Source organism: Homo sapiens, chromosome 1 (assembly GCF_000001405.40).
Source record: "Homo sapiens chromosome 1, GRCh38.p14 Primary Assembly".
Classification (NCBI taxonomy): Eukaryota; Metazoa; Chordata; class Mammalia; order Primates; family Hominidae; genus Homo; species Homo sapiens.
The window spans coordinates 187,590,572-187,604,919 of record NC_000001.11 but is presented as its reverse complement, the minus strand read 5'-3'; positions in this window follow the sequence as shown (position 1 = coordinate 187,604,919).

Below are 14,348 nucleotides of genomic sequence, written 5' to 3'. Positions count from 1 at the left end.
TTCAATGGGAAAAACTGGTTGACCGTATTTCAACATTTCTAGTGCTGGCTTCACTTATTATCTGAAAGCACTGAGGGATCAACAATAAAAAGTAGTGAAAATGGAATTTTGATTTAACTTTTTTGAAGTTCTAAAAGGTTTTGACTCAAGGCAAAATTTGGAGAAATGGTGGAAGCCTACCTTAGCATATGTATTTATCCCCTGTTGATCCACTAAAAACAAAGTCACAACAAATCAATAAAGTTGCCTAAGTATTATTTCTAAATTATAGTTAACATTTTAAATAGAATGCTTAAAATGAAATTTAAGTCTGATAATAGAATCTTAAAACATATATGACAAATCTTTTAAATACATTATATTTGATATGTATTTGTTTAAAATCATATCACTACTGTGTTTAATTTATTCTGATCTCCAAATGACAAACTTCTTTGTACATAAAGTTACTGGCAGCATCATTATTTTTTATGTTGTAAGTTTCTCTATGTCAGAATATTACGAGAAAAGTAACACTACTTTTTAACAGCATATTAAAATATTTGGTGGAAGACGCTATTTTGAGTACTTTCATCACTTACCCCCACACAATATACACAAAAATACTCTAAAGAAAATTTTTAAATTATCTTCTATCTTAGATATGGAAAGTTTACAAGACTGACCTAGAAGAATTCAGAAACAAGATAAACAGCGACATCATGAACAACCACCACCACCAAAATGAAAGCATACCAGTCAGTATAACTTTGTTCACAGCTGATCAACATCACGCCCAAATATAAGTATTGCATATATAACCCTAGCCCACCTAGCCTTTAAACCATTGAATGGTGTTGCTTGTGTTGCTGTTGTTGCTAATAGTTGATTTCCTTTTTTCACATTTCCTGGTTTATTATAAGGGATATTACAAGGGATACATATGAAAAGATGCATAGGGTGAGGTATGGGGAAAGGGGCATGAAGCTCCCTGAAGCCTGACCTCTTGGGTTTTTATAGAAGCTTTATGAGGTCAGCATTCCTTCCCCCGGGTTATAGGGTAGGACCCTTTTTGGGAAAGGTCTCATGACTCACAACCAGAAAGGTGGAGGAAGATTAAAGTCCTGCATTGGAGTGGGTAAAAGGAGGGCAGGAGAAGATCTGAGCATTCTGTTTTCTTTTTTTTTTTTTTTTTTTCTATTTTATTTTTTTTTATTTTTTATTTTTATTTTTTTTTAAATTTTTTTTTTTTTTATTATACTTTAAGTTTTAGGGTACATGTGCACATTGTGCAGGTTAGTTACATATGTATACATGTGCCATGCTGGTGCGCTGCACCCACTAACGTGTCATCAATCATTAGGTATATCTCCCACTGCTATCCCTCCCCCCTCCCCCGACCCCACCACAGTCCCCAGAGTGTGATATTCCCCTTCCTGTGTCCCTGTGATCTCATTGTTCAATTCCCACCTATGAGTGAGAATATGCAGTGTTTGGTTTTTTGTTCTTGCGATAGTTTACTGAGAATGATGGTTTCCAATTTCATCCATGTCCCTACAAAGGACATGAACTCATCATTTTTTATGGCTGCATAGTATTCCATGGTGTATATGTGCCACATTTTCTTAATCCAGTCTATCATTGTTGGACATTTGGGTTGGTTCCAAGTCTTTGCTATTGTGAATAGTGCCGCAATAAACATACGTGTGCATGTGTCTTTATAGCAGCATGATTTATAGTCATTTGGGTATATACCCAGTAATGGGATGGCTGGGTCAAATGGTATTTCTAGTTCTAGATCCCTGAGGAATCGCCACACTGACTTCCACAATGGTTGAACTAGTTTACAGTCCCACCAACAGTGTAAAAGTGTTCCTATTTCTCCACATCCTCTCCAGCACCTGTTGTTTCCTGACTTTTTAATGATTGCCATTCTAACTGGTGTGAGATGATATCTCATAGTGGTTTTGATTTGCATTTCTCTGATGGCCAGTGAGGATGAGCATTTCTTCATGTGTTTTTTGGCTGCATAAATGTCTTCTTTTGAGAAGTGTCTGTTCATGTCCTTCGCCCACTTTTTGATGGGGTTGTTTGTTTTTTTCTTGTAAATTTGTTTGAGTTCATTGTAGATTCTGGATATTAGCCCTTTGTCAGATGAGTAGGTTGCGAAAATTTTCTCCCATGTTGTAGGTTGCCTGTTCACTCTGATGGTAGTTTCTTTTGCTGTGCAGAAGCTCTTTAGTTTAGTTAGATCCCATTTGTCAATTTTGGCTTTTGTTGCCATTGCTTTTGGTGTTTTGGACATGAAGTCCTTGCCCACGCCTATGTCCTGAATGGTAATGCCTAGGTTTTCTTCTAGGGTTTTTATGGTTTTAGGTCTAACGTTTAAATCTTTAATCCATCTTGAATTGATTTTTGTATAAGGTGTAAGGAAGGGATCCAGTTTCAGCTTTCTACATATGGCTAGCCAGTTTTCCCAGCACCATTTATTAAATAGGGAATCCTTTCCCCATTGCTTGTTTTTCTCAGGTTTGTCAAAGATCAGATAGTTGTAGATATGCGGCATTATTTCTGAGGGCTCTGTTCTGTTCCATTGATCTATATCTCTGTTTTGGTACCAGTACCATGCTGTTTTGGTTACTGTAGCCTTGTAGTATAGTTTGAAGTCAGGTAGTGTGATGCCTCCAGCTTTGTTCTTTTGGCTTAGGATTGACTTGGCGATGCGGGCTCTTTTTTGGTTCCATATGAACTTTAAAGTAGTTTTTTCCAATTCTGTGAAGAAAGTCATTGGTAGCTTGATGGGGATGGCATTGAATCTGTAAATTACCTTGGGCAGTATGGCCATTTTCACGATATTGATTCTTCCTACCCATGAGCATGGAATGTTCTTCCATTTGTTTGTATCCTCTTTTATTTCCTTGAGCAGTGGTTTGTAGTTCTCCTTGAAGAGGTCCTTCACATCCCTTGTAAGTTGGATTCCTAGGTATTTTATTCTCTTTGAAGCAATTGTGAATGGGAGTTCACCCATGATTTGGCTCTCTGTTTGTCTGTTGTTGGTGTATAAGAATGCTTGTGATTTTTGTACATTGATTTTGTATCCTGAGACTTTGCTGAAGTTGCTTATCAGCTTAAGGAGATTTTGGGCTGAGACAATGGGGTTTTCTAGATAAACAATCATGTCGTCTGCAAACAGGGACAATTTGACTTCCTCTTTTCCTAATTGAATACCCTTTATTTCCTTCTCCTGCCTGATTGCCCTGGCCAGAACTTCCAACACTATGTTGAATAGGAGTGGTGAGAGAGGGCATCCCTGTCTTGTGCCAGTTTTCAAAGGGAATGCTTCCAGTTTTTGCCCATTCAGTATGATATTGGCTGTGGGTTTGTCATAGATAGCTCTTATTATTTTGAAATACGTCCCATCAATACCTAATTTATTGAGAGTTTTTAGCATGAAGGGTTGTTGAATTTTGTCAAAGGCTTTTTCTGCATCTATTGAGATAATCATGTGGTTTTTGTCTTTGGCTCTGTTTATATGCTGGATTACATTTATTGATTTGCGTATATTGAACCAGCCTTGCATCCCAGGGATGAAGCCCACTTGATCATGGTGGATAAGCTTTTTGATGTGCTGCTGGATTCGGTTTGCCAGTATTTTATTGAGGATTTTTGCATCAATGTTCATCAAGGATATTGGTCTAAAATTCTCTTTTTTGGTTGTGTCTCTGCCCAGCTTTGGTATCAGAATGATGCTGGCCTCATAAAATGAGTTAGGGAGGATTCCCTCTTTTTCTATTGATTGGAATAGTTTCAGAAGGAATGGTACCAGTTCCTCCTTGTACCTCTGGTAGAATTCGGCTGTGAATCCATGTGGTCCTGGACTCTTTTTGGTTGGTAAACTATTGATTATTGCCACAATTTCAGAGCCTGTTATTGGTCTATTCAGAGATTCAACTTCTTCCTGGTTTAGTCTTGGGAGAGTGTATGTGTCGAGGAATGTATCCATTTCTTCTAGATTTTCTAGTTTATTTGCGTAGAGGTGTTTGTAGTATTCTCTGATGGTAGTTTGTATTTCTGTGGGATCAGTGGTGATATCCCCTTTATCATTTTTTATTGTGTCTATTTGATTCTTCTCTCTTTTTTTCTTTATTAGTCTTGCTAGCGGTCTATCAATTTTGTTGATCCTTTCAAAAAACCAGCTCCTGGATTCATTGATTTTTTGAAGGGTTTTTTGTGTCTCTATTTCCTTCAGTTCTGCTCTGATTTTAGTTATTTCTTGCCTTCTGCTAGCTTTTGAATGTGTTTGCTCTTGCTTTTCTAGTTCTTTTAATTGTGATGTTAGGGTGTCAATTTTGGATCTTTCCTGCTTTTTCTTGTGGGCATTTAGTGCTATAAATTTCCCTCTACACACTGCTTTGAATGCGTCCCAGAGATTCTGGTATGTGGTGTCTTTGTTCTCGTTGGTTTCAAAGAACATCTTTATTTCTGCCTTCATTTCGTTATGTACCCAGTAGTCATTCAGGAGCAGGTTGTTCAGTTTCCATGTAGTTGAGCGGCTTTGAGTGAGATTCTTAATCCTGAGTTCTAGTTTGATTGCACTGTGGTCTGAGAGATAGTTTGTTATAATTTCTGTTCTTTTACATTTGCTGAGGAGAGCTTTACTTCCAACTATGTGGTCAATTTTGGAATAGGTGTGGTGTGGTGCTGAAAAAAATGTATATTCTGTTGATTTGGGGTGGAGAGTTCTGTAGATGTCTATTAGGTCCGCTTGGTGCAGAGCTGAGTTCAATTCCTGGGTATCCTTGTTGACTTTCTGTCTCGTTGATCTGTCTAATGTTGACAGTGGGGTGTTAAAGTCTCCCATTATTAATGTGTGGGAGTCTAAGTCTCTTTGTAGGTCACTCAGGACTTGCTTTATGAATCTGGGTGCTCCTGTATTGGGTGCATAAATATTTAGGATAGTTAGCTCCTCTTGTTGAATTGATCCCTTTACCATTATGTAATGGCCTTCTTTGTCTCTTTTGATCTTTGTTGGTTTAAAGTCTGTTTTATCAGAGACTAGAATTGCAACCCCTGCCTTTTTTTGTTTTCCATTGGCTTGGTAGATCTTCCTCCATCCTTTTATTTTGAGCCTATGTGTGTCTCTGCACGTGAGATGGGTTTCCTGAATACAGCACACTGATGGGTCTTGACTCTTTATCCACCTTGCCAGTCTGTGTCTTTTAATTGCAGAATTTAGTCCATTTATATTTAAAGTTAATATTGTTATGTGTGAATTTGATCCTGTCATTATGATGTTAGCTGGTGATTTTGCTCGTTAGTTGATGCAGTTTCTTCCTAGTCTCGATGGTCTTTACATTTTGGCATGATTTTGCAGCGGCTGGTACCAGTTGTTCCTTTCCATGTTTAGCGCTTCCTTCAGGAGCTCTTTTAGGGCAGGCCTGGTGTTGACAAAATCTCTCAGCATTTGCTTGTCTATAAAGTATTTTATTTCTCCTTCACTTATGAAGCTTAGTTTGGCTGGATATGAAATTATGGGTTGAAAATTCTTTTTTTTAAGAATGTTGAATATTGGCCCCCACTCTCTTCTGGCTTGTAGGGTTTCTGCTGAGAGATCCGCTGTTAGTCTGATGGGCTTTCCTTTGAGGGTAACCCGACCTTTCTCTCTGGCTGCCCTTAACATTTTTTCCTTCATTTCAACTTTGGTGAATCTGACAATTATGTGTCTTGGAGTTGCTCTTCTCGAGGAGTATCTTTGTGGCGTTCTCTGTATTTCCTGAATCTGAACGTTGGCCTGCCTTGCTAGATTGGGGAAGTTCTCCTGGGTAATATCCTGCAGAGTGTTTTCCAACTTGGTTCCATTCTCCACATCACTTTCAGGTACACCAATCAGACGTAGATTTGGTCTTTTCACATAGTCCCATATTTCTTGGAGGCTTTGCTCATTTCTTTTTATTCTTTTTTCTCTAAACTTCCCTTCTCGCTTCATTTCATTCATTTCATCTTCCATTGCTGATACCCTTTCTTCCAGTTGATCGCATCGGCTCCTGAGGCTTCTGCATTCTTCACGTAGTTCTCGAGCCTTGGTTTTCAGCTCCATCAGCTCCTTTAAGCACTTCTCTGTATTGGTTATTCTAGTTATACATTCTTCTAAATTTTTTTCAAAGTTTTCAACTTCTTTGCCTTTGGTTTGAATGTCCTCCCGTAGCTCAGAGTAATTTGATCGTCTGAAGCCTTCTTCTCTCAGCTCGTCAAAATCATTCTCCATCCAGCTTTGTTCCGTTGCTGGTGAGGAACTGCTTTCCTTTGGAGGAGGAGAGGTGCTCTGCGTTTTAGAGTTTCCAGTTTTTCTGTTCTGTTTTTTCCCCATCTTTGTGGTTTTATCTACTTTTGGTCTTTGATGATGGTGATGTACAGATGGGTTTTCGGTGTAGATGTCCTTTCTGGTTGTTAGTTTTCCTTCTAACAGACAGGACCCTCAGCTGCAGGTCTGTTGGAATACCCTGCCGTGTGAGGTGTCAGTGTGCCCCTGCTGGGGGGTGCCTCCCAGTTAGGCTGCTCAGGGGTCAGGGGTCAGGGACCCAATTGAGGAGGCAGTCTGCCTGTTCTCAGATCTCCAGCTGCATGCTGGGAGAACCACTGCTCTCTTCAAAGCTGTCAGACAGGGACACTTAAGTCTGCAGAGGTTACTGCTGTCTTTTTGTTTGTCTGTGCCCTGCCCCCAGAGGTGGAGCCTACAGAGGCAGGCAGGCCTCCTTGAGCTGTGGTGGGCTCCACCCAGTTCGAGCTTCCCGGCTGCTTTGTTTACCTAAGCAAGCCTGGGCAATGGCGGGCGCCCCTCCCCCAGCCTCGTTGCCGCCTTGCAGTTTGATCTCAGACTGCTGTGCTAGCAATCAGTGAGATTCCGTGGGCGTAGGACCCTCTGAGCCAGGTGTGGGATATAGTCTCCTGGTGCGCCGTTTTTTAAGCCGGTCTGAAAAGCGCAATATTCGGGTGGGAGTGACCCGATTTTCCAGGTGCGTCCGTCACCCCTTTCTTTGACTCGGAAAGGGAACTCCCTGACCCTTGCGCTTCCCAGGTGAGGCAATGCCTCGCCCTGCTTCGGCTCGTGCACGGTGCGCGCACACACTGGCCTGCGCCCACTGTCTGGCACTCCCTAGTGAGATGAACCCGGTACCTCAGATGGAAATGCAGAAATCACCCGTCTTCTGCGTCGCTCACGCTGGGAGCTGTAGACCGGAGCTGTTCCTATTCGGCCATCTTGGCTCCTCCTGAGCATTCTGTTTTCTAAGGCCTAAAGCACCCAATGTTGTAACAAAAGACTATGATAAGGGCTCTGGGAGTTATAAGCCAGTTCCTGGCATATGTGTTTTATATGTTATATATTATATATACACATATATTACGTTGTATATACATATAAATATATATTTGTGTGTGTGTGTGTATCAAATAACACCACAGGCCAACCTCTAGTTTTTGAACATGGATCCTTTCTATGAAAAGAATATACACCATCATTAATAATTAGTCCAGTCCATTACATTGTATGAATGTCTTCCAGGGTGAGGGCTCTCAGGTTTGTAGCTTTCTTTTGATCTCGTAAGTTTCCAAAAACTGCAAACACTCAACACCAGCCTGTGAAAGCAGCCAGAATGGAGGGCTGTACCCTGCAAAGCCACAGGGGCAGTGCTGCTCAAGGCCATATTCACAAAGATACAGCCCAAGAGGTGGGACCCCATCCAGAGTCCATGGAGTCAAAGGAGATGATTTTGGAGCTTTAAGGTTTAATGACTACCCTATTGGATTCTGGACTTGCATGGGGCCTACAGCCCCCTTGTTCTGGCCAATTTCTACCATTTGAAAAGTGTGTATTTGCCCAATGCCTGCAATCCCATTGTATCTAGGAAGTAACTAGCTTGCTTTTGATTTTACAGTCTCATAGGCAGAAAGGACTTGCCTTGTCTCAGATGAGACTTTGGATTTGGACTTTTGGTTTAATGCTGGAATGAGTTAAGACTTTGGGGGACTGTTGGAATGGCATGCTTGTGTTTTGAAATGTTAGAACATGAGTTTTGAGAGGGCCCAGGGGAGGGATTATATGGTTTGGCTGGGTCCCCACCCAAATCTCATCTTGAATTGTAGGTCCCATAATCTCCACATGGCGTGGGATAAACCCAGTGGTAATTGAATCATGGGGGCAGTTTCCCCCATGCTATTCCTGTGATAATGAGTAAGTTTTTACAAAATCTGATGTTTTTATAAGGGGATTCTTCCTTCACTTGGCTCTCATTTTCTTCTCCTTAATCCCATGTGAAAGAGAATGTGTTTGCTTCCCCTTCTCCCATGACTGGAAGTTTTCTGTTGCCTCCCCAGCCATGTTGAACTGTGAGTCATTTAAACCTCTTTCCATTATAAATTAACCAGTCTCAAGTATGTCTTTCTTAGCAGCATGAGAACAGACTAATACAGCAGGCAAACATTTTTCTTGCATTTTCCTCATTTTTGCAAGCTTCTGCCTCTCTGGTGGAAATAATTTCCAGAAGATTTAAATGGCCGAGCTCACACCCCACCCCTCCCCACCCACTTCATTTTTCTCTTGTTTTCTTTTGGAAAGCCAGACATTAAACACCAGGGCATTCAAAAGCAACTACATACATAGGAAAAATTAAAAGTGACCATGTATACATAGGGAGACGTGCAAGCTCAGAAAAGACCTGAGAAGACCTCAAGTTTGCACCTTTGGTCATTAGCACATAGACAACCAAAACAATTTAAAAACTTAAAACAATGAACAACAATAACAAGAAAAGAGCAAACCCTGGACAAAGGGGTAGACTCTGATTTTCAGAATTGCCATATGAATAGATTCCAATGTTTATTTTTCAACAAGGCATACAAAGAAACAGAAATGTATGATCCACTCAAAGGAAAAGAATAAATCAACAGAAACTCTCTGAAAAAAGGCCTGAGGGCCAATTTACTAGACAATGATTTCAAAACTACTGTCTTAAAGATGCACAAAAAACTAAACAAAGAAAGATGAGGAGAAAGTCAAGAATATGATGCATGAATAAAATGGAAATCTCAATATAGAGGTAGAAAACCATAAACAGAAACCAAAAAGAAATTATGAAACTGGAAAGTACAATAACTAAACTGAAAAATTCACTAGCAAAATTCAAAGGCAGATTTATGCAGGCAAAAAAGTGGATCAACAAACCTGAAGACAGAACAAGGAATTACTGGTCTGAAGAATAGACAGAAAAACTTTGAAGAAAAGTAAACAGAGCCTAAGGAACCTAAATCACCAAGCAGACCACCATACACATGAGAGAGTTCTCCAGAAAAGAGAGAGAGAAATAGGCAGAGAAAATATTTGAAGATATAATGGCTGAAAACTTCCCAAATTTTAGGAGATATGATATAAACATTCAAGAAGTTGAACTAACTCTAGTAAAAAGAACTCAGAAAAACTCATATAGAGACAGAGCATGACCAAACTTTCGAAATACAAAGAAAGAATCTTGAAAGCAAGAAAAGAGAAGTTATTTGTTATATGCAAAGAATTTGCAATAATAAGATTAGCAGCAGATTTATTATCAGAAGCTATGGAGGACAATAGGCATAGAACTGATATATTCAAAGTACTAAAAGAAAAAACTGTCAATAGAATCTGATATCCAGCAAAATGTATTTTCAAATGTAAGGGGCAAATTAAGCTATACCTAGAAAATAAAACCTGAAACAGTTTGTTATCATTAAATCTGGCCTGCAAGAAATGCTTAAGGAAGTTTATAAGGGCAAAAGGACGCTAGACAGTAATTCAAAGCTGTATGAAGAAATAAAGATCTCAATAAAGGTAAATACATAGAAAATTATAAAAACTAGTATTATTGTAACAACTGTTTGTAACTCTGCTTTTTGTTTCCTACAAAATTTAAGAAACTAATACATTTTAACTGGGTCAATAGCTTCATGACATTGGATTTGGGAATGTCTTAGACATAATACCAAAAGCACAGACAGAAGTAAAAAGAGACAAACTGGATTTCATGAAAATGAAAAAGCTGTATATATTAAAAGACAATATAAACTGAGTAAAAGGCAGCCTAACCCACAGAATGGGAGGAAATATTTGCAAATCACATACAGATATACCGCGTTTTATTGTGTTTCACTTTGTTGAGTTTCACAATATTGTATTTTTTTACAGAAATTTTGTGTCACCCCTGCATCAAGCAAGTCTATTGGTGGGATTTTTCCAACAGTATGTGCTCAGTTTATGTCTCTCTGTCATATTTTGAAAATTATCATAATATTTCAAACTCTTTAGTATTGTTATATCTGTTATGGTCATCTGTGATCAGAGATCTTTGATGTTACTATTGTAATTATTTTGGAGCATCATGAACTGTGCCCACACAAAATGACAAACTTATTCACTAAATATTGTGTGTTCTAACTGCTCCAGTGAACAGCTGTTTTCCCATCTCTCTCCCTCTCATCTCTCCTCTTCCCGGAGATAAAACAACACTGGAATTAGGCTAATTAATAACCCTGCAATGGACTATAAGTTTTCAAGTGGAAGGAAAAGCCACATTGATCTCACTTAAAACATAAGCTAGAAATGATTATAATGAGGAAGACATGTCAAAAGCTGAGATAGATCAAAAATGAAGAGACTTGGGGGCCAAAGAGCCAAGTTGTGAGTACAAAGGAAAAGTTATTAAAGAAAACTAAAAGTGCTACTCCAGTGAACACATGAATGATAACAAAGTGAAAAAACCTTATTGCTGATAAGGAGAAAGCTTGAGTGATCCAGGTAGAAGATCAAACCAGCAACAACATTCCCTTAAGTCAAAATCTAATCTAGAACAAGTCTTCTAATTTCTTTCAAATCTCTGAAGGCTGAGAGAGGTGAGAAAGGTGGAGAAGAAAAGTTGGAAGCTAGCAGATGTTGGTTCCTGAGATTTCAAAAAAGAAGTAATTGTCATAATAAAGATGTAAAGTGAAGTAACAAGTGCTGATGTAGAAGCTGCAGCAAGTTATCCCGTGATTTAATTAAGAAAATTGATGAAGGTGGCTACTCTAAACAACATATGTTTAATGTAGACAATTCAGCCTTACATTGATACCAACTAGGACTTTCACAGCCATAGAGGAGAAGTCAATCCCTGGCTTCAAAGATTCAAAGGAAAAGCTACATCTGATATTAGGGGCTAATGTAACTGGTGACTTTTAGTTGAAGCCAATGCTCATTTGCCATTCTAAAATGCCTATGGCCCTTAAGAATTATAGTAATTCTATTCTGCTTATGCTCTATAAATGGAATAATAAACCCTTTATGACAGCAAATCTACTTGCGATTTACTATGACTTACTGAATAGGTTAAGCCCACTATTGAGACCTCCCTTTCAAGAAAAAAAGATTTCTTTCAAAATATTACTACTTATTGACAACGCACTTAGTCACCCAAGGGTTCTGATGGAGATGTAAAAGCAGATTAATGCTGTTTGTATGGCTGCTAACACAACATCCCTTCTGCAGCCCATGGATCAAGGAGTAATTTTGACTTTCAAGTCTTATTATTTAAGAAATATATTTCAGAAGGCTATAGCTGACATACATATTGATTACTGGGATAGATCTTGGCAAAGTAAATTGGAAACCTTCTGGAAAAGGTTCACCATTCTAGATAACATTTAGAACATTTGTGATTCATGAGAAGGGGTCAAAATATCAATCTTAAGAGGAGTTTGGAAGAAGCTGAGTCTAACCCCCATGGATGACTTTGAAGGGTTCAAGTCACTGCAGATGTCGTGGAAATGGTAAGAGAAGAAGAATTAGAAGTGGATCCTGAAGATGTGACTTAACTGTTGCAATCTCATGATAAAACTCTAACAGATGAGTTGTTTCTTATGGATGAGCAGATAAAACAGTTTTTTTGGAATGTAATTTAATTTTGGTGAACATGCTGTGAACATTTCTGAGATGGCAACAAAGGATTTAGAATATTACATAAATTTTGTTGATAAAGCAGCAGCAGTGTTGAAGAGGACTGACTTCAATTTTGAAGCTTTGGGTAATATGCTACCAAACAGCATGGCATGCTACAGAGAAAGTTTTTTGTGAAAGAAGGAGCCAATGGATGCAGGAAAACTTTATTGTCTTATTTTACAAAATGTTTACAGCCACCCCAACCTTCAGCAACTACCACTGTGATTACTCAGCAGACAACAACTTGGAAACAAGACCCTCCACTGGCAAAAAAATTATGCCTTGCTGAAGGCTTAGATGATAGTTAGCACTTTCTAGCAATAAAGTATTTTTTGGCATATTTAAGGTATCTACACTTTTTTGACATAGTGCTATTGCACATTTATGGTATAGTGTAAACATAACTTTTATGTACACTGGAAAATTAAAATTTCATGTGATTCACTTTATTGCAATATTTGCTTTATTTCAGTAATCTGAAATAATACCTACAATATCTCCCAGGTATGCCTATATCTGAAAAAGAATAAATATCCAGAATATACAAAGAACTCCCAAAGTTCATCAACAACAAAACAAAGAGCCCAATTCAAAAATGGACAAAAGATTTGAAGAGGCATTTCTCCAAAGATGATATACAAATATTCAATAAGCACATTAAAAGATGTTCAACATCACTAATCATCAGAAAAATCAAATAAAAACTATAATGAGATACCACCTTTAGGTGCCAACCAAAATTTTTCCTTGCACCTCTGAAGTTTCACTGATAAATCAATTTAAAAAACACAGATTAATGGGAGAAAAAGCACACAGAACTTATTAATGTGTACACTGGGGCCTTTAGCATGAGAACCCCAAAGACTCAGGGAAAATTGGCCTCTCTGAGCATGCATTCCTTCCTTCTGGATGTGGGGCAGGGCCCTCTTTGGAATGGAAGTCCTATGACCTACAGTCAAATAAGGTAGGTCAGATCTTTTTTATAGCCAGTTTTTACACAGAAAGGCAGAAGGCAAGTTGTTGGTTTTATGATTGCCATGGGGTAAAAGACTGTCTGGTTCTGTGACCCATCTTGGGGAAGAGAGGTCCTAGTTCCTATGACTAGCCTTAGGTGAAAGTAGGACTGAGAGACAGGAGAGTGAGAGAAGGCTAGAAAAAATCTTTTGCTTCTGAAGCCTTCATTTTGCAGTATTATTTTCTGAGTCTCAACACGTCTCTCTCATTAGGATGCTACTATCAAGAAACACCCCCAGAAAATAAATGCTGGAGAGAATGTTTAAAAGTTGGAAGCCTTGCACACTGTTTGGGGGAATGTAGAATGGTACAGCTACTGTGGAAAACAATATGGTAGTTTCTAAAAATAATTAAAAGGAGAATTATCATGTTATTCAGTTTTTCCACTTTCTGGATATATATCCAAAATAGTCAACAGCAGGATCTTGAGGAGATATTTGTATACCCATGTTCATAGCAGCATTATTCATGAGAGCTATAAAATGTAAGCAACCTTAGTATTAATTGATAAATAGATAAAAGAGATGTGATATATACATAAAATATTATTCAGTCTTTCAAAGGAGGTCAATTATTACAAATGCTATAATGTGTATGAACCTTGAAGAAATGTACTAAGTGAAGTAAGCCCATTGCAAAAAGACAAATACTGTATGATTAACTTATATTAAGTACTTAGAGTAGTCAAAATCATAGAGACAGAAAGTAGAATGGTAGTTGGTAGGGGCTGCAGGGAAGTAATAATTGTAAATATAAGTGATAGATAAATATTTACAATTATTTTTAGGACACTAGGACCATAGGTGAGCCCTATGCAAATAAAGGGGAAAGTCTTTTACTTAAGTCTATTCATACTGGAGGATTTCAGTCTGACTTTCAATTTTAAATGTTGGCTCTGTTTAACAAAATTTATATTGAATTTATAAAATGTCAAGCAAGAGGCATAGTGCTGAGAACATAAAGGTAAATGTAACAGTCCCTGTCCTCATAGACTTGTGTAGAGAAAAGACACAAGAACTTATACTTGTTTACTGAAAATGCTATAGGAATTTTAATCGCAGAGACAGATGCAAGGTAGTTTGGGGAAGGAGAGGAAGGATACCTGGCCAAACTGAGTGGGAGAGAAAATCAACAAGTGGGCTCCTAGAAGACATAAGGAGATTTTAGCTGAGCTAAAAATAATACTTTGTCCTTGAAAAATTAGATCATAGAAATGAGTGTCAAAGGGCTCTGTTGAAGTGTCTATAAATAAGATTTTTTTTATAACATTGATTTTTTTTGTTTTGGCCCACACATTTCTATCCTATTCTAAGGGTATATTTAAAGTGTTGACTCCATTCCAAAAAACCTAATTGCA